This window comes from Homo sapiens, chromosome 1, assembly GCF_000001405.40.
Source record: "Homo sapiens chromosome 1, GRCh38.p14 Primary Assembly".
In the NCBI taxonomy this organism is placed as follows: Eukaryota; Metazoa; Chordata; class Mammalia; order Primates; family Hominidae; genus Homo; species Homo sapiens.
Window position 1 is genome coordinate 15,208,726 of NC_000001.11, and position 24,981 is coordinate 15,233,706.

The 24,981-nt window shown below is 45.7% G+C and overlaps 1 protein-coding gene and 1 pseudogene across 9 annotated transcripts in view; both read left to right on the forward strand.

The window, feature by feature from the left end:
* TMEM51 (transmembrane protein 51) overlaps positions 1-11,753 on the forward strand; it is a 67,913-nt gene extending 56,160 nt beyond the window's left edge. For 4 of the 9 annotated variants that reach the window (XM_017001590.2, NM_001136216.2, NM_001136218.2 and 1 more), the window contains exons 2-4: positions 1,765-1,837; positions 6,170-6,706; positions 10,601-11,753. In XM_017001590.2, the coding sequence (XP_016857079.1) occupies positions 6,363-6,706; positions 10,601-11,018 (762 nt within the window). In that variant the 5' untranslated portion in view covers positions 1,765-1,837; positions 6,170-6,362 and the 3' untranslated portion in view covers positions 11,019-11,753. Of the gene's footprint in view, positions 1-1,762; positions 1,838-6,169; positions 6,707-10,600 lie in introns of all 9 variants that reach the window. The other 5 variants (NM_001136217.2, NM_018022.3, XM_011541676.2 and 2 more) reach the window with 4 other exon arrangements.
* On the forward strand, positions 17,639-18,518 carry ZBTB2P1 (ZBTB2 pseudogene 1; annotated as a pseudogene).

The following is a 24,981-nucleotide window of genomic DNA, read 5'->3' on the forward strand; positions in this document are numbered from 1 at the left end:
AGGAAGTAGTTGGTGCCAATGAGGAGCAGAAAGGAAACCACTGAGGGCTGGTGAGCAGGAGATATGAGCTGTGACAGCAAGACAGGAGCCTCGTCCAGGCTGGTGGGGCTTGAGGGTCATGGCCAAGGAGTTTGGATTTTATGCTAAAAGTAATAAAAACACATTGATGGGCTTTTGGACATTCTTGTTACAAACTATTTCAGTCATTCAAAAGAGTATATATAAGATATATGTGAATTGTAATGAATAGTATAATAAAACGCTCATGTACCCTTCACTGTTCGCCTCCCCAGTACTATTCTTCACTCTTCATTTCTCCAGGAGGTAGTGTGTGTGTGTGTTTGTTTGTTTCTATGTTTGTTGAGACAGGGTCTCATTCTGTCACCCAGGCTATAGTGCAGTGGCGTGCTCAAGGCTCACTACAGGCTTTACCTCCTAGGCTCAAGCAGATCCTCCCACCTCAACCTCCCAAGTAGCTGGGACTACAGGTGTGAGCCACACACTGGGCTCATTATTATTATTATTATTATTATTATTACTATTATTATTATTGTAGAGACATGGTCTCACTATAGTGCCCAGGCTAGTCTCGAACTCCTGAGCTCAAGCGATCCTCCCACCTTGGCCTCCCAAAGTGCTGGCATTACAGGTGTGAGCTACTGTGCCTGGCCAGAAGGTAGCCTGAATTTGTCCTGAATTTTAGTTTATAGTCTTTGCGTTTCTTCCTAATATTACAAAAATAGAGCAACATATTGTTTGGTTTTGAACTTCATTTAAGTGGATTTCTGCAGTGTGTATTCTTCTGCAGTTTGCTTTTCTGTTCAACATTATGTTTGTCAGGATCATCCTCACTGGTGCACACAGCTGCAGTTTACTCACCTTCACTGCTGCGTACGTAATACTCCACAGAGTGACACGTTGTGGTTTATCCTTTCTCCTGGGACCAATTTCTAATGTTGAACCAAACCCTGCATTCTTGGGATAAACCCAACTTGATTATGATGTGTTATCTTTTTAAAAAATATGGTTGGGCTGGGTGCTCCCTTCTGTAATCCCAGCACTTTGGGAGGCCAAGGCAAGAGGATCTCCTGAGGTCAGGAGTTCGGACCAGCATGGCCAACATGGTGAAACCCCGTCTCTACTAAAAATACAAAAATTAGCCAGGTGTGGGGGTGTGCGCCTGTAGTCCCAGCTACTTGGGAAGCTAAGGCAGGAGAATTGTATGAACCCAGGAGGCGGAGGTTGCAGTGAGCTGAGATCACACCACTGCATTCCAGCCTGGGCAAAAAAGTAAGACTCAGGAAGGAAGGAAGGAAGGGAGGAAGGGAGGGAGACGGGGAGGGAAGGAGGGAAGCATGGATTCCATTTGCCGATTTTTGTTTAGGCTGGTGGGTCAGACTGGCCTGTCATTTTCCTCTCCTGCCTTGTTCTTTTCTAGTTTTGGTGTCAAGGTATATACATTCCTTATAAGATGACCTGAGAGTATTTCCTCTGATATTCTCTGGAGCACATGTCTAAGATGGATAATACCATGAAAGAGTTTGATAAATGTTAGCTACCATGTTGTCATCCTTCTGCAACTCATATTTTTTTGTACAGAATTCTGGCTTCTTCTGGTACCACTTGTCTTGCATAGATACCTACCCTAACCCTTGCCCTTTTCCCCCTAAAAAACAAAGAAAACACATGGCTCCCCAACATGTAACTCCAATTGCAATGCTCACAGCTTGCTTAGAAAGCTGCATCTCTGTGGTTTTTTTATAGGTGGATCTTTAACTCAAGACTAGCATGAAGAGTTGCCTTCTGGCCTGCCCTGAGTCTCCTCAAATAACAACAGGTAGATACCTCTCTAACTGGTTAATAATTTTTCTTTAAAAACTCAGATATAGAATCATTCATACCTCCCTTAGGGCCTCCTCAGACATGAGCAGTGATGGGGCCAACCCCAGGGTCTAGAGGTTGAGTTTGGCCAAGCCAGGACCCCAGACTGCCCACCAAGCCTACTGTGTTTTAGGGACATATTGGAAGCCGTGTGGTCCAAATCCTCTAAGCATAAAATTAGCTTCTTTCCATATTTTTAAAAGGAAAAGAACACCATGCTAAATATAGCTCGGGTGCTGTCCAGGGTCAACAAGCCAAGAACAGGACAAACAGCTGACCAGATGCCCCGCTGGGAGCTGGGTTTCTACAGACCCCATAGACCCATCAAGATCACAGTCCCCAAAGAGAGGGCTGAACTTGAAGAACAAATCTACGCCACCGTTGCACACATAACCCTGCCATGAACCCAAAAAACCAAAACTATTTTATGAAAGCAACACATAGATATTTCTGTTTTCTAATTCTTATTCTCCCAGTAAGAAAAAGAAAATGAAAATCATGGTGAATCCCATCACACACAGAAAATAACTATAAATATCATAATATATAATCCGAGTGTTGTGAAACTTAGTATGATACATTCAACAGTGTTTCTCAACCTTTTCCGCCACCTTGCCCTCCCTGAGAAGTCTTTTTAGACATTCTTTTTGGAATACTTGAAAATTTAATGCCAAGGATGCCCTGTGTATCTATTTATATTCTGTGGCCCTGTGGAGGGCCACAAACCATTATAATATCCAAGATTTTTTTCACCCTGTCCCCAAGAAACAATTTTTGCTCCTTGTGGGTGATCTTACCCCATTGAGAATACAAGCTCTAATTAACATTAAATAACAATTTTTTTTGTCTGTTTAAGAACTTACTGTTGTGCTGGTCACATACTGTTCTTGGTGCTTTATGTATATTATTTATTTATCATAACTCCCCTATGAGGTAGGTACTAGAGAGTTTTTGTCTCCCTTTTACAGCTGTGGAGACTGAAGCACAGAGAGGTTAAGTAACTTGCCCGAGGTCACACAGCTGTGAAGGAATAGAGTGAGGATGTGAGCCCAGGAAGCCTGGGTCCCAAGCTCACTCTTAACCACTCAGCTATGCTACCTTGCAGCAATACAATCAGATTGTGAAAATTCAAAAGAGAGAAATAGAAAGTAAAGGGTACACTTTCCGAGTTTCCTTCGTCCCCAGAAGCAATCATGGTACAAGTCTGAAAGGTGACCCCCCCCCCCCCCCCGGGATTTTTACATACGTGTGTATATATAAAAATACACTGTCTCTTTCATTTCAATGTAAGTACAATCATCCAGGCTTTTTCCCATATATTCATCTGTGTATGGAGAATTTTTTAAAAATTAGAATCACGCTGAACACACTGTTGTTTCAATCTTGTTGTTTGATTTAAAAATACATTAGCTGCTTTGAGACCATAATTTCCTTAAGTGCGTGAACCATAATTTATTACCCTGATCTGGATTATTGGCTATTGAAGTAATTTCTAGCTTCTCACCACTATAAAGCTGTGATGATATCTCTGTACATAATTCTTAGAAGTTGGAATTATAGAGCCAAAGGGTATAAACATTTTTGAAACTTTTGTTCTATAAATGCCAAAACTTGCCATCTAAAAAAATGCCATGAAATTGCCATCCCAATACCTTTCCCCACACTGAGTATTATCACCTGTTTTTAATCATTGACAGTTTATCAGACAAAAAGAATGTATTAATCCCGACATTTTAATCTCTGCCCATGATTCACATCTGGAGCCTGTCTTTCTCTCGTGCAGCATAAGGCAAAGCTGGAATGGAGAACGAATGAGGGCAGGCAGTGAGGGGGTTAAAGCGGCTCAAATCACTAGTCTGCTAACCACACTCTCAGCGTCCCACGTACAAGGCCTGCCTGTCAGGCACTTAGCATGTGCTCAGAACGTGGTATTTTCATCACTCCTGCTTCCAGCACAACCCCCTGGCTGTGTACTTCTCCACCCTCCGAGTCTGACCTTGTCCCAGATCCATTTGGTAGAACCGGTGCATTCCTAAGGCTGCCAGAGCCCCCATCCTTCCTTTTGCCAGCCATGAGTGATACTGTAAGAAATAAATATCCTTGTGTACGGTCCCATCTGGTCCTACCGCAGCTGTCTGCAGTGGGATCCCTGTTCAGCGCCCTGCACGCCACACACATGCCCATCCTACCTGTTCATATTCCATACATATGCATGCATATGTACATAGGTGCTCGCACGCATGCACATGTGCTCATGTGTGCATAAACATATATGCACACGTGTTCATGCCCCAGTGTGCCTTGGTGCTTCTTCTTAACTCCTTCAAGAGCAGAGCCAGTGCGTTCACGCACGTGCACATACACAGTGCTGTGCATTCAGGGTTCAGGCCCAATTAGGCCAGTGGGAATCCTCTCCCACATAGACTTTCTGTATGTCCCACAGCCCTGAGCTAGGACACCCTGCTGTCTAATCCCACAGTTCCTGTACTTCCTTCTTACTTTATTGGTATTCCCTATAGATCATTTTCCTGCTGGCCTAGAAGCTCTGCTAATCCTTAACTTGCTCACTGCTGTTTCTCCAGTGCCTAACTCGCTACTTAGGAGGTAGTGAGATGCACAAGAAATATTTGTTGGGTGAAAAAAAGAAGGAACAGACTTAAAGCTGATAAAGGATGTTGTTCCAAATATTTTTAGAGTCTCTTTTAACAAAGTGGCCAATTTCAGATAAACTCATGGTTTCACAAGAAAATATCTTCGCAGCATCAGATTTCAAGCAGCCTGGTCAGTCATCCTTTCGGAGAGACTGGAAAAAATGCAGAATTGAAAACAGGTCCTTGCCCAGCTAAACATCTTGTAAATTTTACTGTTTTGCAAAAGTTCCTGTCACAGGAATAATGTATGGGGGAGAGGTTTAGCAAGGGGCATTGCTTGCTCCTCCTCCTCAGTCCTTGAGAATGTTCTAAACTAAAGCCTTGAGTGACTGCTTCTCTGGCTCGCTCTCAACCAACAAATGCTGTGGAATCCCAGGACCGCTGGCTGCTCCCTTTAGCGCAGGGTCTCTGGGCTGCTTTGTGGAAAGAAGGTTTATTTTGTCCAGCTGGGCACAGGAGCGGAGAGGAAGAATGTGCAGGCCTGTGTCCCTTTTAACAAAGGGAGAACTCGATGTGGTTTCAGAGAAGCTTGTCTTGCTGGGTGACTTCATGTGGCCTGCATTCATTTCATCCAACATTGACTCTGCAAACTTTTTTTTTTCGAGACAGAGTCTTGCTCTGTCACCCAGGCTGGAGTGCAGTGGCACAATCTCGGCTCACTGCAACCTCCATCTCCCAGGTTCAAGCAATTCTCCTGCCTCAGCCTCCCAAATAGTTGGGATTACTGGCACGTGCCACAGCACCCAGCCTTTTTTTTTTTTTTTTTTGTATTTTTAGTAGAGACGGGGTTTTACCATGTTGGCCAGGATGGTCTTGATCTCTTGACCTCGTGATCCATCCACCTCGGCCTCCCCAAGTGCTGGGATTACAGGCATGAACTCTGCAAACATTTTTTGAGTCCCTGCTGTGTGCCAGGCTTAGAGATGATGACAATGTGGTCATGGGAAGAGAGAGACTCACCACGGTGGTTGCTGGAGGATTTGGGGAGCACATGAAAGGGGCATCTGAGCTATGGGTGACCAGAGAAATGTTCTGGAGGGTGGTTGGGGGTGGGTAGTGCAAAGAAAGGCAGGCTGAGACATGCAGTAGGAGAGGCAGGAGCCAGGCTAAGGCCACCATGAGCAGCATCATTCTAAGAAGCTGGATTTTCTCCTGCAGGAAGTAGGGAGCCATTGAGGGTGGGGAACAGATGACAGTAGGCTGTTTGGCCTGGTCATACCATTGGCTGAGGCCCTGTCCCCCAGGTGAGTCTGTTACAACCATCGATTGTGGACCATTCATCCCATCGCTCACTCTCCCAGCAGCCTCCAGCAAGAGCTACGATTTTACTGCACTTCATTAAATTCCACACAATGTTTTAATGACCTGAGCTCCGACCTTTCTGGCCTCCAGCAGGGAAAGGTCTGGCTTTTCCTTTTCAGGGAGTAGCGGGCTGGGCAGACCGGCCTCCCTTCTCGCAGCCTCGCACAAGGAGCCTGAGCACGTAAGACATCTGGAATGCATCAAAGGCGAGGCCCAGCCAGAGCCGGCGTGCTCGGTGCTGCTGCCTAACTCCTTCAAGAGCAGAGCCGCCACATTCACAAAGCGTCTGGAATCGGAACTGATCGTCCTCTCTGCTCTTTCTGCTTTCCTTCCAGGCCCTTCCACCGCAGCCATCCGCACGGGAGGCCTCGCGATTGCTCGGAACCATCCCGCAGGAGTTCAGCTGATATTTTCTAGTGTGGGGCGAGAGATTTTGTGGAGCGCATTTAAGGGGTTTTTGTTGTGACTGCTGCCTTGTATACATTTATTTTCTTTCTTGGAACTGGGCCTCGCCCTCCTCCCACTGACATGATGGCCCAGTCCAAGGCCAATGGCTCGCACTATGCGCTGACCGCCATCGGCCTGGGGATGCTGGTCCTTGGGGTGATCATGGCCATGTGGAACCTGGTACCCGGCTTCAGCGCGGCCGAGAAGCCAACAGCTCAGGGCAGCAACAAGACCGAGGTGGGTGGCGGCATCCTCAAGAGCAAGACCTTCTCTGTGGCCTACGTGCTGGTCGGGGCCGGGGTGATGCTGCTGCTGCTTTCTATCTGCCTGAGTATCAGGGATAAGAGGAAGCAGCGGCAGGGCGAGGACCTGGCCCATGTCCAGCACCCGACAGGCGCTGGGCCTCACGCCCAGGAGGAAGACAGGTGAGGCCTGACTGTCCCCTTCCCTCCCCGGATCGGGGATGGGCACGCACGCATGCACACACATGTTCACACCTTTCCGTGGTGAAAAGACTGTCATCTACAGGCTTTATTGTCCCATGTTCGCCCATGACGCCTCTGTCAAAACGGTTTATCATTTTACAAATAACTTTAGACTTTTCTACCAGAGCTTCCCAAATAGCATGGTACAAATGGATTACAGGTAAACCAAGATTTTTTAAAAATTTTATTACAATAGATTTTTACACCATGGAATACTATTCAGCCATAAAAAGGAACAAAATACTGTCTTTTGGGCCAGGTGCAGTGGCTCACTCCTGTAATTCCAGAACTTTGGGAGGCCGAGGCAGGTGGATCACTTGAGGTCAGGAGTTTGAGACCAGCCTGGCCAACATGGTGAAACCCTGTCTCTACTAAGAATACAAAAATTAGCTGGGCATGGTGGCACATGCCTGTAGTCCCAGCTACTGGGGAGGCTGAGGCATGAGAATCGCTTGAACCCAGGGGAGTGGAGATTGCAGTGAGTGAGCTGAGATACCGCCACTGCACTCCAGCCTGGGTGACAGAGTGAGACTCTGTCTCAAAAAAAAAAATACAAAAACAAAAAACTGTCTTTTGCAGCAACTTGGATGGAGCTGGAGGCCATTACTCTTAAGTGAACCAGCATTTTGACCCGCCCAGGGTCACTGAACAGGGCCTGGGGTGGCCAGCATATTTGCTTGTCCCTTCACCCCAGCATGCTGTGTGTATGCTTTAATTTGAAATGGCTGGGAAGCAATTTTCCATTTGAGCAAAAATGCCACCAACAAATTTAAAAGATAAGTGATACATTGGGGAAGATATGATAATAGTTGATATCCCTATTATAAAAAGAGCTCTTAGAAATGAATATGTAAGATGAATATACCAATAGGAAACAGACAAAGATTATGAATATTCCATAGATGTTCAACCAATAGATGTTCAACTTCATTAGTCATGAAATGCAAGCAAAAAGATGTCTTTTCTTTTTTTTGCCTATCATATTGATCAAGATAGACAGCCCCTACTGTTGGAGAGTTGTAGGGAAGATGGATTGCTGATGAAATGTTGACTGATAGAAACTTTCTTAAGAGTTTCACCATAAGGGGCAGTACTGAAGATGTGCGTATTGATCCTATTTATAAGAGTTTATCCCTGGGAGACAGTCCCACAGGTGCAAAGGAGTTTGTACCAGTATATTTATCAGATCATTGTTTAGGATAACAAAAACTTAGAAACAACCTAAAAAACCACCTACTGAGTTAAATGACGTACCTATTCAATGGAGTTCTATGCAGCAACTGTTGATCTATATTTGTTAATGTGGGACCATATCCACAACAATGAGAAAAGGGGGATATAATACAGCATCTTTGGTCAGGTTATGGTCCCATCAAATGTTGTGGCTGTGGGATTGGAGAGGGGTAGGAAAGGTATACACCAGAATGTTACAGTGGTTTGTCTCCAGGTAGAAGGATTCGGGATGTTTTTCTTTTCTTCATTAGATGTTTCTGTGTTGTTTGAATTTTCTACAAGCATTTCTTATCTTTATAGTGGGAAGGGAATTGTTCTTAATGTAATATGGATTAAAGGGAACCCTTGGTACACTAATGGTGGGAATGTAAATTAGTGCAACCACTGTGGAGAAGTTTAGAGTTTCTTCAAAAAACTCAAAATTGAGCTGCCAAATGATTCAGCAATGCCACTTGTGGGTACACACCAGAAGAAAAAAAAATCTCATTATATTGAAGGGATTTCTGCCCTCCAATGTTACCAGTTACCACCCCTTTCCATGGTAATGACCTGGAAGTTACCATCCCTTTCCTAGAATGTTCTAAATAGCTTGCCCTTCAATTTACATTAACCCACTTCTTACTTTTGCACATAATTGAAAGTGGGTGTAAGTGGGTACAAATACAATTTCCAAATTAAACTCATTTTCTGATAGCAAAGAATAATATATGCTGTATTGGTCAGGGTTCTCCAGAGACACAGAACCAGGGGGATATATATTTTTTTAAATGGAGATTTATTATGAGGAATTAGTTCCTGGGATCATGGAAGCCAAAAAGTCCCACAATTTGCCATCTGTAAGCTGCAGACCCAGGAAAGCAAGGGGTATAATTCATTCTGAGTTTGAAGGCCTGATTGAGAACGAGGAGAGGTGAGGGTATAGATCCTAGTCTGAGAGCAGGAGAAGATGAAATGAGATGTCCCAGCTCAAGCAGTGAGGCAGGGAGAAATGAGTCAAATTCCTGCTTGCTCTGACTTTGGGTCTATCTAGGGCCTCCATGGGTTGGATGGTGCCACCACACTGAGGAGGGGAATCTGCCTTACAGAGCCCACCGAGCTGAATGCTAGTATCTTCCAGAAACACCCTCACTCTCACAGTGTTTAATATGGGCAACCATGGCCAGTCAGGTTGACACCTAAAATTAACCATCACACATGCTTATTCTAGAAAACTTGAGAAATATAGAAAAGAACAAATATCAATCACTCATCATTCCCCACCCTAGCTGTGAGCACATTTGAGTTCATTCCTAAAGGAGGGTGGGAGGAAAACCAAGGCAGACTTTGAGGTTTCTGATGTTGGCCATGATCACCCCACAGGTTCAAGTATAGAGTCCTGGAAAGTGGCTATTGGCGTTAATTCTGACAAATGTGTAGAAAATATCCTGACTTTTTGGTTTTCTCTTTCAACAGTCAAATGAGAATAAGGCTGAGAGGACCTGATCTTTTTGAGTCTTGGGATAAACTTGGAAGATAAAATTACAGAATAATTTGAGACACACATAAATGTTATATTTCAGATATTCTTTCTCTACTGAAAGTTGGTAGCAACTTTGTACATTTCTGTGTTGCCTTTGACCAAAGGACCCAGCTGAGCATTGGAATAGCTCACGCAGCATGTCGCTAAGTGGGAAAGGCTTAAAGGCAAAGGAGGTTTAACACCCAGATAACATGGTGGAGTAGTTGAGAGTACAGTGTTCACTTCCTGCCCTCCCATTTCCTGAAGGTCTGACCAAGTCATTTAATCTTGATGTATCTCAGTCCATCTATAAATTGGGTATTATAATAATAGTGAGATAGAAAACAGGCAGGACTTGTTTTCTGATCATAACCCTGCTGACCAAAACAGGATGTGGTCCAGATGAGATAAGGTTTAAAAAAACACTAGCCAAAGCCAGCAAACGGGAACGAGGGTGATCCCTGGCTGCCCTCATTGCTCATCAGCATGGGACACTCTCACCAGTGCCATGACAGTTTACAATTGCCATGACAACGACCTGGCAGTTACCATCCCTTTCCATGGTAACGACCCAGAAGTTACCTTTCCTAGGAAGTCTTAAATAGCTTGCCCCTCAATTTGCATTAACCCACCCCTTAATTTGCATGTGACTAAAAGTGGGTATAAATACAATTTCCAAGAGCCCCTATGTGGCCAACTCAGGGTGTACTGCCTATGAGTTAGCCCTGCTCCACAAGAAGCAGTGCCCTTCAATAAAGAATTGTGGTCTAACACCACTGGCTCACCCTTGAATTCCTTCCTTGATGAAGCCAAGAACCCTCCCAGGCTAAGCCCCAATTTGGGGACTCACCTGTCCTGTCCTGCATGACTAGTACTTAACTCATAGTGTTGTCAGGAATCTGAAATTGGTTCATATTTGCTAAAATACTTAGAAGGGAGCCCAGCTCATAGTAAACACTTGAAGTATTCACTTTTATTGCCTCTAAGACCCATTTGTTATTTACAAGGCTGCTGTGTGTGGACTCTTTGGAGCCCATCCCTTTGGGATTTTGAATGACTTGAGCACAGGCTAACACTCTCCCTGTCTGTGTGTCTTCTTGCAGCCAGGAGGAAGAAGAGGAGGATGAGGAGGCTGCCTCAAGGTACTATGTTCCCAGCTACGAGGAAGTGATGAACACAAACTACTCAGAAGCAAGGGGAGAGGAGCAGAACCCGAGGTTGAGCATCTCTCTCCCGTCCTATGAGTCACTGACGGGGCTCGACGAGACCACCCCCACATCCACCAGGGCTGACGTGGAGGCCAGCCCTGGGAACCCCCCTGACAGGCAGAACTCTAAGTTGGCCAAACGACTGAAACCGCTGAAAGTTCGAAGGATTAAATCTGAAAAGCTTCACCTCAAAGACTTTAGGATCAACCTCCCAGACAAAAACGTCCCTCCTCCCTCGATAGAGCCTTTGACTCCTCCACCGCAGTATGATGAAGTCCAGGAGAAGGCCCCCGACACCCGGCCGCCCGACTGAATGGCCCCACTTGAGCCACGCTCCCTCCTGTCTCTCACACCTTTCACCCCCAAGACTCTAACAAAGCCACATGAGCCACAGTTGAGAAGCGGAGGGGCCAGCTGTGCATGGAGCCATTTGGATGGCGGCGGGCGGGGGGGGATTCTCTGTATCAGGAGTGACTTTGTTGCCCCACACAGCCTCCTGCTGCAGGTGCTTTGGAAAGAGATGCTGCCTTGGAGCTGGTGAATCTGTGGACCACATTCAAGGGTGTGGCACAGGCATCTTCCCATCCTTTTCACTCCGAATCGCTGGCGACACATTCTCCTTTCCAGCTAGGAAAGGGTTCCTCGCGGCTGGTTTAGATTGTGGTTGTTTGTTTTGCTTCTACTAAGACTGTTTTGTTTCAAAAAGGAAACAAGTTTTGTGTTTGCTGTCTACGCTGGAGTCCTGAACTGTGGGTAGAAAACACGACCTGGCTTTGTAGAAAGGACACAGGGCTGTTTTATGAACTAAGCGGTGAGGCTCAGGTGGCGGCTCTCGCAGAGCCCCTGATGCTGTTGTTCTTTGAGGGCTTAAGGCCTGATGAACGTAGGCACGTGATGCATAATAGTCTTCAATGGTACACTTAACTAGTCTCTTCTGTGTAACAGCAAAAAAAAAAAAAAAAAGAAGAAGAAAGAAAACTGTAGGAAATGTTCTTTTTGAAATGCCATGCAATGGAGCTTTTTGTAATAAAATATTTTATATGTAGTACATTTGGGTGCTGAGTTACTTTAGCAGCTCTCCCAATACTGACTTTCTTAGGGGAAAATGGCAATAATAATAGCTAATATGTACTGAATACTTATGCCCAGTGTTGTGCTAAGCATTTCACACATCACCCCATTTTGTCTGGACCCAAGTCTGGTAATAATGCCATTCTGTTGTCAGCTCACAGAGGCTTTAGGTTAATGTAAGTGCCCTGTGTCACACTGCTAGTAAGCAGTAGAGCTGGGGTTTGAGCCCAGGTTGCCTGGCTCCAAGGCCTGAGTTCTTACACACCCCCCATACAGCTCAGTGTAAAGAGCTTTTCCAGACTTTGAATGAAGACTTGCACTTCTCAAGTTCAGAGGTTGTCTCTGTCAACCTATGCACCCAAAAGAAAGTTCTGGTTGTTTGAACAGCAGCTTTCTACCTGTCTAGGCATCCTTCCTATCTCCCTCTGCTGAGAACTGGCCCAGGAGGGAGCTCAGTGCAGCCTGTCCTCTGCCCCCAGAACTGACAGGCTATGTAAGTGTAGGGGGTGGGTGAGCATGTCCCCCTGGAGGGGGAAAGTGAGTCTATGCAGCTCAGAAAAGCAGTGCAATGAATAAGAAATGCTCAGGGGATCGCACGCTGTTGAAGAGGGGACATAGGAGGGGAATGGAGACCTCTGGGGTCAGGATCTTGACCGTGGAGTGAGTGTCTGGGAAAACAGACCCAAGTCCAAAGGAAGCCTTCCTGCTATTGGTGGGCATGGAGCCAGCCTGCTGAGGAGTCTGTGTCAACCTGGTTGGAAGAGTAATTCCCAGGCCCAGATGTTTTCCTAACAAGCTCCGGTGGACAGGGAAGGGATGACAGGCACCGAGTTACCTTCTTATCTCAAGATTAGCAGTAGTGACTAAAGTTCGAAACTTTCACTTTCCTTATGCGATGCATTATTAAAAGGGGAGATGTTGGGATTGGCTTTGTGGCATGGGACAGACACCCAGAGGCCTGGTCCGTTCCCCGGCCCACTCCTGAGCCGACCCATGGCTCTTTGTGTCTCATGTCTCTGGGCTGGGCTTGCTTTCCTGTTACTTTCTGTGCTTCTTCCAAACCAGAGGATAAATGGGAGGAAAATAGAAGAGAAGAGTAAGGACCCAGATGAGTTGAGAAATGACTTTCTGGAAGAGCTCTCAATCTGGCTTCTGGTAGAAACCTTTTGGGGTGTCTCCCTAGTCTAGATCCTCCACGGGGGAGAAGGAGTTGTGAGGCTTGGGTGGGCTGATTGGTGGTCCCCAAAGGTATCAGACCCTAATCCCTGGAACCAGTGAATATTACCTCGTATGGTAAAGTTTTTGCAGATGTGATTAAGGATTGAAGATGATGGGATTGTCCTGGGTTTGCCAGGTGGGCCCTTAATGCCAACCACAAATGTCCTCACAAGCAAAAGACGGGGAGAGTATATACAGAAGAGGAGGAGACAATGTCATCCCAGAGGCAGAGATGGGAGTGATCAATCTACAAGTCCAGGAAGGCCGGCAGACACCGGAATCAGGAAGAAGCAAGGGATGGACTCTCCCCTAGAGCCCCTGAAGGATGCAGTCCCCGCTTACACCTTGATTTCAGGCCAGTTAATATGATTTTGGGCTTCTGGCCTCCAGAACTGTGAGAGAACAAGTCTCTGTTGTTATGGGTCACCAAGTTTGTAATAATTTGTTATAGGAAACCAATACAGAGCTCAATCTTCAACTCACTCGATATCAGCCCCCCTTTGGCCTCAACACTTCATGAGTCTTCCCACAGAGAGGAGTGCAACGGAAATAGCATTTAGGACCCCTGCTTGTATGTGTGGAAATGATCAAGTAGAAAATTATTCATATTATTCAGAGGATTATAATGGATATGTGGTATACACAATATAAAGCCTAGGCTCACCTCTTTCTAAAATGGGCAGAAAGAATGTTAGCTGGAAACCTTAACCACAGGTTTGGAGTCCTAAATAGTGCCTCGAGGCAAGGAAGTTCTCTGCAGTACTGAGTTAAAACCACCTGTCAAAGCAGGAGGCCACCTTTACTCAAAATTCCTCAAAGCACATTTGCCCTGTTTGTTTATTGGTTCAGAGCTATCATTATCATCCTCAGGACTCTCTCTTTCTCTTTGGACTAGAAAAGAAAAGAAGAAAGGAAGAAAAAGGAAGAAGGATAGAAAGGAGGAAGGAAGATAAATAGAAAGGGGAAGGAAGGGAGGGAGAGAAGGAAAGGAAGGGAAGGGAAGGGAGAAGGGAGGGAAGGGAAGAAGGAAAGGAAGGAAGGAAAGGAAGGGGAAGGGGAAGGGAGGAGAAGGAAAAGGAAGGGAAGGGAAGGGAGGGGAGGGAAGTGAAGGCGGAAAAAAAAGGGAGAAGCTAAGAAGGCAAGAACCAGAAGACTAGTTCTTTTCTTTGCTCCCAATCATGTTTTTGTCCCTAATGTAAACATAAGAGCACAAACATGGGGGAAATGCAAGTAGCAACCCAAATGGCCCCAGGGCTATGAAAGAGCAGCAAGAAGAAATCTGAATGAATTCCAGTTTTTTAAAGTCCCACTCAGCACTCCCACCCTACTCAAAAGGACAGATCTTAGCAGCTTGTTGGGATCATGTGACATCCATGCTTTCAAGTCACAGCTGATTGGATCTGAGGTATGTATCCGGGATACCCAGGGAGAACCAATCAGAAGCTGAGTTTGGCTAGGCAAGTCTTTCCCAGGAGCCCAGCTTTGGATGGAGAGGTCAGTTCTGAGTGATGTGGTCTCAGGGGTTAGGTGACTGTTTGGGGGCCATCAGGGTGGGTCACGGACACGTGAGGCAGGAGAAGCCACTCTGCAGACAGAGAATGGAGTTAACTGCTCAAATACACAGCCATGAAAAATGAGCCTCAGAGACCGCTGCCTCCTGGTGACTTTCTGGTCCTTGGTCTTTGGGAAGCCCAACTGTGCTGAGAGATGGTGTCCCCCAGTCAATTTCCTTCTTTAGCTTTGATCTTCTCTTTATTTTCTTTTTTGAGATCGAGTTTCGCTCTTGTTGCCCAGGCTGGAGTGCAATGGCGCAATCTTGGCTCACTGCAACCTCCACCTCCTGCCTCAGCCTCCCAAGCGATTCTCCTGCCTCAGCCTCCCAAGTAGCTGGGCTTACAGGCGTGTGCTACCACACCTGGCTAATTTTGTATTCTTAGTAGAGAAGGCATCTCACCATGTTGGTCAGGCTGGTCTTGAACTCCTGACCTCAAGTGATCCACCCGCCTTGGCCTCCCAAAGTGCTGGGATTACAGGTGTGAGCCACTGTACCTGGCCCGCTTTGATCTTGAATTTAACTGAAATCCTTGAGGACAGAATGGCCTTTCCATTGTCCACAGTGCTGGGCCCAGAGTTGGTACTCCACCTAACCTCGATTTTGATTTTTCCTTTCCTCTGACTGGTTGCAGTTCTGGGGAAGGGGAGCCACGAGCAGGTGCTTAAGGCACAAGACTGGAGCATGACTGTGACTGCAGTGTAGACCACTGCCTGGGGAGTGCAGCTGAACCAGCTGGATCCATCCATTTCCACGACTGCTTACTCAGTGCCTGTTAGATGCCAGGTACTGCTCTAGGCTCCAGGATACAGCAGTGAAGCTAAAGCCTGCTCTTCATGGGGAAGATTCGTGCTTGGGCACTGCTTCCCAAAGCAGGTCCTGTGGCCTTGGGTGACAGTCACCTTTGGGTGATCATTCGGGACTGACTAGTTGAACTGGGTGCAATACATTTGAAAGCTGCAGGGTAGCCACATGCACAGAGAAAGCCAGTCCTGCAGGAAGAGATGGAGGAAGCAGAAGGGCACGGAGGAAACAGCCCTCCACAGAAAGAGACAGATTTGCTGCTTTGTAGTTCCTGGTTGGGGAGCCTGGCCACACACTGTGACCTTTGGGTATATACAACACACCAGTCTGCTTTCAATAATGCCTATCTTTCCTTAAGCAAGTTGGAGTGGGCTTCTGTTATTTGAAGCCACATGTCCTGAAATGACTCACTTCCGCATGGACAAGCATGAGATGGCAAAGCCGAAATCAATCCACAAGCGTCCTGAGATACTGAAAATGGGACGCAGCTGTATCGCTGGAAATGTGTGGATCAACTGAACCACAGGTTCTAAAAGGCAGTACAAGAAAAGCCCTTCTGAGGATTCGTGGACTTCTTTCTTATTGTAAAGGCCCTGACAAGGACCATTTAGCTCCTAGGACAAACCATGCTGCATATTCTGGTGTGGAGTTACAGAAGGACAGCCCTTGTTATGTCTGCAAGCATGGAGGGTGGGAGAAAGTCTTCCCACCTGAGCCTCGATCTCTTCACCAGCAAAATGGAAGTTCCTCATTTTGTGATGAGTACCTGAAACCAACACAGGTAAAGTGCCCCCACTGCACCCGGCACAGACAAAGCAAGGGGGCCAGGCACAGTGGCTCATGCCTATAACCCAGCACTTTGGAAGGCCAAGGCGGGCAGATCACTTGAGGTCAGCAGTTCAAGACCAGCCTAGCCAACATAGTGAAACCCTGTCTCTACTACAAAATTTAGCCAGGTGTGGTGGCACACTCCTGTAATTCCAGCTACTGGGGAGGCTGAGGCACGAGAATCACTTGAATCAGGGAGGTGGAGGTTGCAGTGAGCTGGGATTGCATCACTGCACTCCAGTCTGGAAGGCAGAGTGAAACTGTGTCTCAAAAAAAGGGAAGGAAGGAAGGAGGAGGGGAGGGGAGGGGAGGGAGGGGAAGGGGAAGGAAGGTAGGACAGTGCAGCTGTGATGAAGCCACAGTCGGATGGAAAACTGACCTGAGATCTAAGCGCTTCTCCCTGCATGAGCCTCACACTCACTTCTACAAGTGTGTTCAGAGAAAATTCACCAAACGCCACAAGTCTGTGAGGCATCTTCACAGAAAGCCAGCTTCAGGGAAACAGCAGCCAGGCCGCGTAATGAAGGCCAACTGAGGCAGCCCCCGGGGTCAGCCTAGCCCAGGGCTTGGGCCCTCCATCATGGAGAGTGGTCAAGTCAGTCTGTTTGGTTTGGTTTTCAGTCTGATGCCATGTTGTCAGCACATTCAGAAGGGAGCAGCTTGTCCTAAGACAGTGAATCTCAGGAGGCCACAGCTGTCAGGACTTTTGATTTCCTGGCGATTCCTCAAGTGTATTCTGCTGGATTTTAATGGGTGGGTGTGGAAAAGTCCCTAATTAGATCCATTTGGAAATCCCTGAGTGAAACAAAGTCTATTTTTATTGCGCACCTACGAGCCAGCAGGAGAAAGCTGTGTGCTTGTCTCTTTGCAGCAATGCAGCTGACCTCGGAAATGATGTCCAAGAATGCCTGAAGCTGAGATGGAAAGTGGCAGCACCTACTATGTGCCAGGTGCTCTGGATAAAGCTGCAAAAAAAAAAAAAAAAAAAAAAAAATGGACCAAGTCCTTGCCGACACAGAGGTGACATTCTGGGTGGAGCCCGAACAGAGGATGAAAAATATGTATACGGTATAAACTCAGAAAATGAGAAGAAAAATAAAGCTGGGTGAAGAACAGGAGGTGAGAGGGGCTCACCTTCAGGGTGATCAGGAAGAGCCTCTGGAGGGTAGCACTGGAGAAAAGTAGGCAGTAAGCCCCATGGGCATCTGGGTGCAGAGAATTCCAGAGAGCCTCTCATATGCTCATGTGCATCATAAATCTCAAAGGAGGTACCGCAGGACATAACATCTGCCAAACCAGTTTAACACAGGCCCTTTTCCCCCACAAAGCCTTTTCCATGGCCAGCATTCCCAGAACACACAACAGGGAATGATGATTGAGCCAAACACAGTCCTTCTACAGCAGAAAGAAATGGGCCCAGGGAAGATAAGACACTTGTCCAAAGTCCCACAGCTTGTGGGCAAAGATATCCGTTAGCCTCCTCACTGTGTGGCATTCGGATCACAGATCACCAGCTAAGGCAAGCCACTAAGATCACCCCATCCCCTGACAACTTGCGGGAGGTGGTCAAGACCGTAGATCCAGGATAAGCCAGACACAGGTGCCTGGGGCCTCCCGGCTCTCAGACCCACTGCAGACCTTCCTGTGTCCACCCCACCCCTCTGAAGGGAGGCTTGCCCCCCTCGTGACAGCCCCCACCATGAAGAGGAGTGGATGCTTCCCCGAGCTTTTGCCATCTGTGTGGATGACAGTTTGCCCTCTGGGGTGGTTTTCGAGTCACCTCCAGCTCATTCAGAAGTACCTTCACATCAGGCTAACAGGGGAAAGCTGTGTCCCTGTCTCTTCGTAGCAATGCATCTGGGAAATGATGTCTGGGAATGCCTGCAGCTGAGACGTGACAGTGAGCTGCAACACATCAATCTCACATTCTCCAATAATGGATGGAGAAGTCAGATACCAGCTCTCTTCAGATACCGTGGAGCAGGCTGGCCAGGAGAGGGAGGAAAAGACCCCAAGAGACAGAGGAAAAAAACAATATGTGGATGCAACCATCCAGAAAAGTCACTGGAGAGAACGCACATCCTTACACGAGAGGCCTTGAAAACGTGGCCCTTGCAACAAAGGTTTCCTCAGGGCCAACCAGGCTGCTTGCCACACGTGTTTCCTCCACACCAGTCTCCCAGGGGACACGCAGCCCCTGGAACTCTGCACATTCCAGGAAGACAGTCAGATGGAACACACATCCATACAAACCAACCAACCCCCAGATACAACATACGCAATGAAACATTCTCCGCTCCCAGGAAGGCTGTGAAACAGTTGCACCAACACCAGAACTCTCTGTTTCACCTTAGGTCAGTGACTCTCCACCAGGACTGATTTTGCTCCCGGGCAGCACTTGGCAATGTGACAGTGGTGGGGGAGAGGGTACTGGCATCTAGTAGGCCAGGGATCCTGCTAACCCTCCTACAACGCCTAGGACAGTCCCCACAGCAGAGAATTATCCTGCCCCAAATGTCACTAGTGTGGAGGTTGAGAAGCCCTGTCCTAGATGCTCTTGGACATGGGGACTGCAGTCATACAGCCTGGCCACTCAGTGTGGACCCCGTCAAAAAAAAGCAAGAAACAATCATCCTTGCATTGCTTATCATTTTTCTTTTAAAAACCTGTCAAGACTGTTTTTCTGTCCTTCGCCCCATCCCAGAACTGCAAATCTAATTCTCCATGTCATGGTATGCACAAATTTATCTTCCTTTCTCCTTTTCTCCATCCATTCTCAGCCCAACATCTGTTCATTAAAAACCTGATATGTAGCAACTGTAATATAAATGGTGTGGGAAAGATAATGGTATAATACTTACAAATTCAAATAGACTCTGAGAAATTTTGGACTATTGAAAAAGCATACTTAAAACCAATGAAAGGTATGTAACAAAATAAAACAACTGGAATACAATTTCAGAAGCAAAAATTATAGCGTGACTTTTTCTGGGTTATAAATCTTCTCAGAAAAACAGTATCAGATAATACAGCATGATTCTGAGAGATAAGCTAGGCTTAGTACTTTGTTTTGTGGAGTTTTTTTCTTTTTCCGTTTTTTTGTTTTTGTTTTGTTTTGTTTTTTTTTTTTGAGACAGAGAGTCTCGCTCTGTCGCCCAGGCTGGAGGGCAGTGGTGCAATCTCAGCTCACTGCAACCTCCACCTCCTAGGCTTGAGCGATTCTCATGCTTCAGCCTCCTGAATAGTTGGGATTACAGGCTTCTGCCTCTATGCCTGGCTAATTTTTCTATTTTTAGTAGAGACGGGGTTTTGCCATGTTGGCCAGGGTGGTCTTGAACTCCTAGCTTCAAGTGATCCACCCGCCTCGGCCTCCCAAAGTGCTGGGATTACAGGCATGAGTCATCGCACCTGTGGGCTTAATACTTTGTAAAATTTAGGAGTTGTGCAGGAACTTTAAGAAGAAGAAAATGTTCTTAGTGTTTATTCTCAAGATGTCTTATTTCAGAATGTATCCTTGTGATACTATCTAGTCAAGAAAAATCATTAGCATCTATTTTAACAAAGCATAAAAGAGAGATAAACAATGGAATAACATGATAGCAAGATTCTTCTTTTATTTTTTGGGGAAAGTATGACAAGTCAAGTATGTGTGTTCATAAAAGAAATTGTATAAATACTTGACATAAGCCAGTGAATAAATGCCCCACCTTACCTAATTGCTGCAGCTTTCAAAATTAAACCGAGAGAGAGAGAAAGCTGCATCTTTTGGTTTCTGACAAATTAGTTACCTTTTAAAAATCAGATTCAGGCTGGGCGCCGTGGCTCATGCCTATAATCCCAGCACTTTGGGAGGCCGAGGTGGGTGGATCACGAGGTCAGGAGTTCCAGACCAGCCTGGCCAGCATGGTGAAACCCCGTCTCTACTAAAAATACAAAAAAAAATTAGCCGGGCGTGGTGGCGGGCACCTGTAATCCCAGCTACTCAGGAGGCTGAGGCAGGAGAATGGCGTGAACCCGGGAGGCAGAGCTTGCAGTGAGCCGAGATTGCGCCACTGTACTCCAGCCTGGGTGACAGAGCGAGACTCCGTCTCAGAAAAAAAAAAAAAAAAAAATCAGATTCAAAGTACTGGTTCACCAATTGACTTTTTGAACAGGAAGGGTCATGCTGTCCTAGAAGTTACCAATGGTACATTCATTTAGCACCAACTGGGGTGTTGTTTTTTTTTTAAATCAGCACAAATGCAGTAGAGAAAAGGAAATAGGAATATACCTTTTATAGGAGAAGTTGGGGCATATGAGGCCAATAATTTTATTGACTTTAAAAGGTAATCCTAAGCTTATTTAAAACATTCATTGAATCCATGAAAATGGCAAGGAGGAGTCGGGCGTGGTGGCTCACACCCGTAATCCCAGCACTTTGGGAGGTGAGCAGATCACTTGAGGTCAGGAGTTCGAGACCAGCCTGGCCAACATGATGAAACCTCGTCTCTACTAAAACCACAAAAATTAGCTGGGTGTGGTAGTGCACGCCTGTAATCCCAACTACTTGGGAGACTGAGGCAGGAGAATCGCTTGAACCCGGGAGGTGGAGTTTGCAGAGAACGGAGAACCACTGCACTCCAGCCTCAGTAGCACAGTGAGACCCTGTCTCAAAAAAAAAAAAAAAAAAAAAAATTGGCAAGGAGAAATCAGTACAAACATTCTAGCTGCTATTTGGAATAAACCTTGATTTTGATGTTTATTTTTCCAGTTAAAAAAGTTTTAATGCCTAAAATTTTTCCAATGGCTGAAAGTAGTAAAAATCATCCACTCATCTTCCCTTAGGCCAATAATAGAAAGGTCTCACGGGGCAATATAGGAACCAGGAATAAGACCAGAGGGGGAGGAGGAGGAGAAGAACACCATTGACTAAGTCCTACGCATATGTTGAAGGCAGACTATCCCTTGCTCCTACTTCCTGGGTAGTAATTTCATAGACGTGTACATTATCATACACCCCTCCAGTGAATAAACACTGAATTAAATGGAATATGATTTTATCTCTGTGTATTGCTTCAACTCTGGGTTTCTGAACCTTGGCACTATTGACATTTTGGGCTGGGTAACCCTGACATGGGGCAAGGCGTGGCTAGGTGGAAGGCTGCTCTGTTCCTTACAGGAAGTTTACAGCATCCCTAGCCTCCACCACTAGATGCCAGAAGCACTGCCCAGGTGTGGCAATCAAAAATGTCCCGAAGCATTGTCAAAAGTCTCCTGGGGGCCTGGGTCAGGGCGCAAAATGCCCGTGGTTAAAAACTGTACAAACTGAAGCTTTAGGTCTACTGGCTACGGGGGGTTGCGGGGAGAATGTAGTATGGAGAAGTGGAAAAAAAGATTGTCATCTGAGCGGCAATTTCCATGTTTGAAAAACGAAATATTGATTATTGCGTTGGGCCACAAGACTGGGAGAATCAAATGAGTTAAATTATATGCTACAAAATGCTATAAAAAGTAGAATTTTAAAGAGAAATGCTTCTAGAGTTCATCTTGCTCAGCTTCCTTGTACAGGAAAGGAAAACCGAGTAAAAAGATGTTTCCCTAAAGACCACAGTAATGCTTCACAAACACAAATGATTATAATGAAATATTAAGTTGTTTCCACCCAGAAAAACAAACAACACAAGAACCAACCCAAATGCCATGATGCTGGCACCATGTGAGCATCAAACCAAATAGTGACTTCAATGGATTGAAACACATCTACATAATTCCAAATCAAATATTCCTGATGATACTTTTAAAAACTCATTGGTCACTTTGGGAAGTTGCTTGTTACTGTGAATATTGATACATAAAGGGAAAGAATCCATCATTTATTCTGCCTTTCCTGAACAAACTGTGTTTTACGGTAAACATATAATTGGCCAGGCGCAGTGACTCACGCCTGTAATCTCAACCCTTTGATAGGCCTAGGCTGGAGGATGCTTGAGCTCAGGAGTTTGAGATCAGTCTGGGCAACATGGAGAAACCGCGTCTCTACAACAAGTTTAAAAATTAGCTGAGTGTAGTGGTGTGTGCCTGTGGTCCCAGCTACTTGGGAGGCTGAGATGGAGGGATCACTTGAGCTCAGGAGGTTGAGGCTGCAGTGAGCCATGATAACACCACTACACTCCAGCCTGGGCAACAGAGTGAGACCCTGTCTCAAAAATAATAATAATAATAATAGTTGATGAAGAAAATGCATTGACAGTTGATGAAGAAGAATTCTAGCAATAATTAACAAAGGAATATCAGAAAGATCACTATTCTGCAACCTCAAAGGAAAGAATGGAGCTAGGGAATGATCCTCAAAGAATGCTAAAACTATTAGGTAAAAAGTTGATGAGGCCGGGCACAGTGGCTCACACCAGCAATCCCAACACTTCGGGAGGACGAGGCAGGAGGATCATTTGAGGTCAGGGGTTCAAGATCAGTCTTGCCAACATGGTGAAACCCCATCTCTACTAAAAATAAAAAAATTAGCCAGGCATAGTGGCACTTGCCTATAGTCCCAGCTACTCAGGAGACTGAGGCAGGAGAATTGCCCGAACCTGGAAGGTGGAGGTTGCAGTGAGCCGAGATCTTGCTACCGCACTCCAGCCTGGGTGACAGAGGGAGACTCCATCTCAAAAAAAGAAAAAAAAAATGTTGATAAGCCCAAGTGTCCACCGATGAATGAATGGACAAACAAAATATAGTCTATGCATACAATGAAATATTATTCAGCCTTAAAACAGATGGAAATTCTGACACATGCTACAACACGATGAACCTTGAGGACATTCTGCAGAGTGAAATAAGCTAGTCACAAACACACATACTGTGTGATGCCACTTATACGAAGTATCTAGAATAGCCAAACTCATAGAAACAGAAAGTACAATGATATTTCTCAGGGCCTGGGAGGAAGGGGAATTACAGAGCTAGTGTTTGGTGGGTACAGAGTTTCAGTTTTGCAAGATGAAAAAGCTCTGGAGGTTGGTTGCACAATGATGTAAATGTACTTAACACTACTGAACTGTACGCTAAAAATGATTCACATGGTAAATTGTATGTTATGTGTATTTTACCACAATTAAAAATAAAAACTGTCTGGGCCTGGTGGTTCATGCCTGTCATCCCAGCAATTTCGCAGGCCAAGGCAGGAGGATCACTTGAAGTCAGGAGTTCAAGACCAGCCCGGCCAACACGGTGAAACCCTGTCTCTACTAAAAGTAAAAAAATTAGCCAGGCATGGTGGTGTGCACCTGTAGTCCCAGCTACTTGGGAGGCTGAGGTGGGAGGATCACTTGAACCCAGGAGGCGGAGGTTGCAGTGAGGCGAGATCTTGCCACTGTACTCCAGCCTGGACATCAGAGCAAAATTCTATCTCAAAAAAAAATTAAACATAAAAATTAAAAGTCACTGGAGAAAAATTTGATGAGAACTTTATGATGGACAGATCAGCCTGTCAGCACTGATCCTACCTAGCCATCTTGGCATCATTAAAAAGGGCCAACCAAGATGTTACATGTCCACGATGTGACACAGGAGGAATCAAACAGCCTGCCTATGAAGTAGTCTTGACAACAAGAAGACCAGATCTCATCAGGCCTCGAGATTTCACTCTTAGTTTGCAGGAAACATGGGGAAGAGAGGAATAAGTTAATTGAAACTATGAAGAAGCAATCAGTCAAATCTATGGTGTGAATATTCTATAGGACGAAACACCCAGTTTCTCCAGCCGATCAGTGGTATGAAAAAGGTAGGGGATGCTGTTATGGAATAAAAAATATTTCAAAGACATAACAACCAAACACAACGTGTGGATGGCGTCTAGATCCCGATGTCAACAAATCATCAATACAACGACATCTCTCAGAGAATCAAGAAAGTGTGAGCATGGATGGATGTTAGACGATATTCAGGAACTGTTACTAGTATTGCTAGTGTGATAATGTCATGGGGAAAATAATGTCATAAAGGTGGGGAAGCTCCTTTTAGTCAGGAAGTATTTATGTATGAAATGACACAATGTGTTTTAAGTTAATCCAAAAGGAAGTTAATCAAAAAGGAAGAAAAAAGCGATAAAACAAGATTGGAGAAGTATCGAAGCTGGATTATGGGTACATGGGGTTAATGGTACTCTTTTCCCTACTTTTGTGTTGTATGTTTCAAAAAACTCCATTATAAACCCCAATTTTTTTCCATAGAGAAGCAATATGTTTATATTAAAAACTATAACTCTCTTCTATAAGACATTTCTAATGCAGACGTGAAGATTAATTTGATTTCTAGCTACTTCTAGCCCCCAAACTACCAGCATTTTTTTTAGTTTCAATTTTTATTTTAGACACAGTGAGTACATGTGCAGATTTGTACATGGGAATACTGCATGATGCCGAGGTTTGGAGTATGGATCCTGCCACACTGTCAGTGAGCACACCACCTGTTGAGTAGGTTTTTTTCTTTTTTCTTTTTTTTTTTTTTGAGATGGAGTCTCACTCTATCACCCAGGCTGGAGTGCAGTGGTGCAATCTCGGCTCACTGCAACCTCTGCCTACCGGGTTCAAGCAATTCTCCTGCCTCAGCCTCCCGAGTAGCTGTGACTACAGGCGCATGCCACCACGCCTGGCTAATTTTTTTGTGTTTTTAGTGGAGACAGGGTTTCATCGTGTTAGCCAGGATGGTCTCGATCTCCTGATCTCGTGATCTGCCCACCTCAGCCTCCCAAAGTGCTGGGATTACAGGCGTGAGCCACCATACCTGGCCCTGATGGATAGTTTTTTAACCCTCCTGCCCCCAC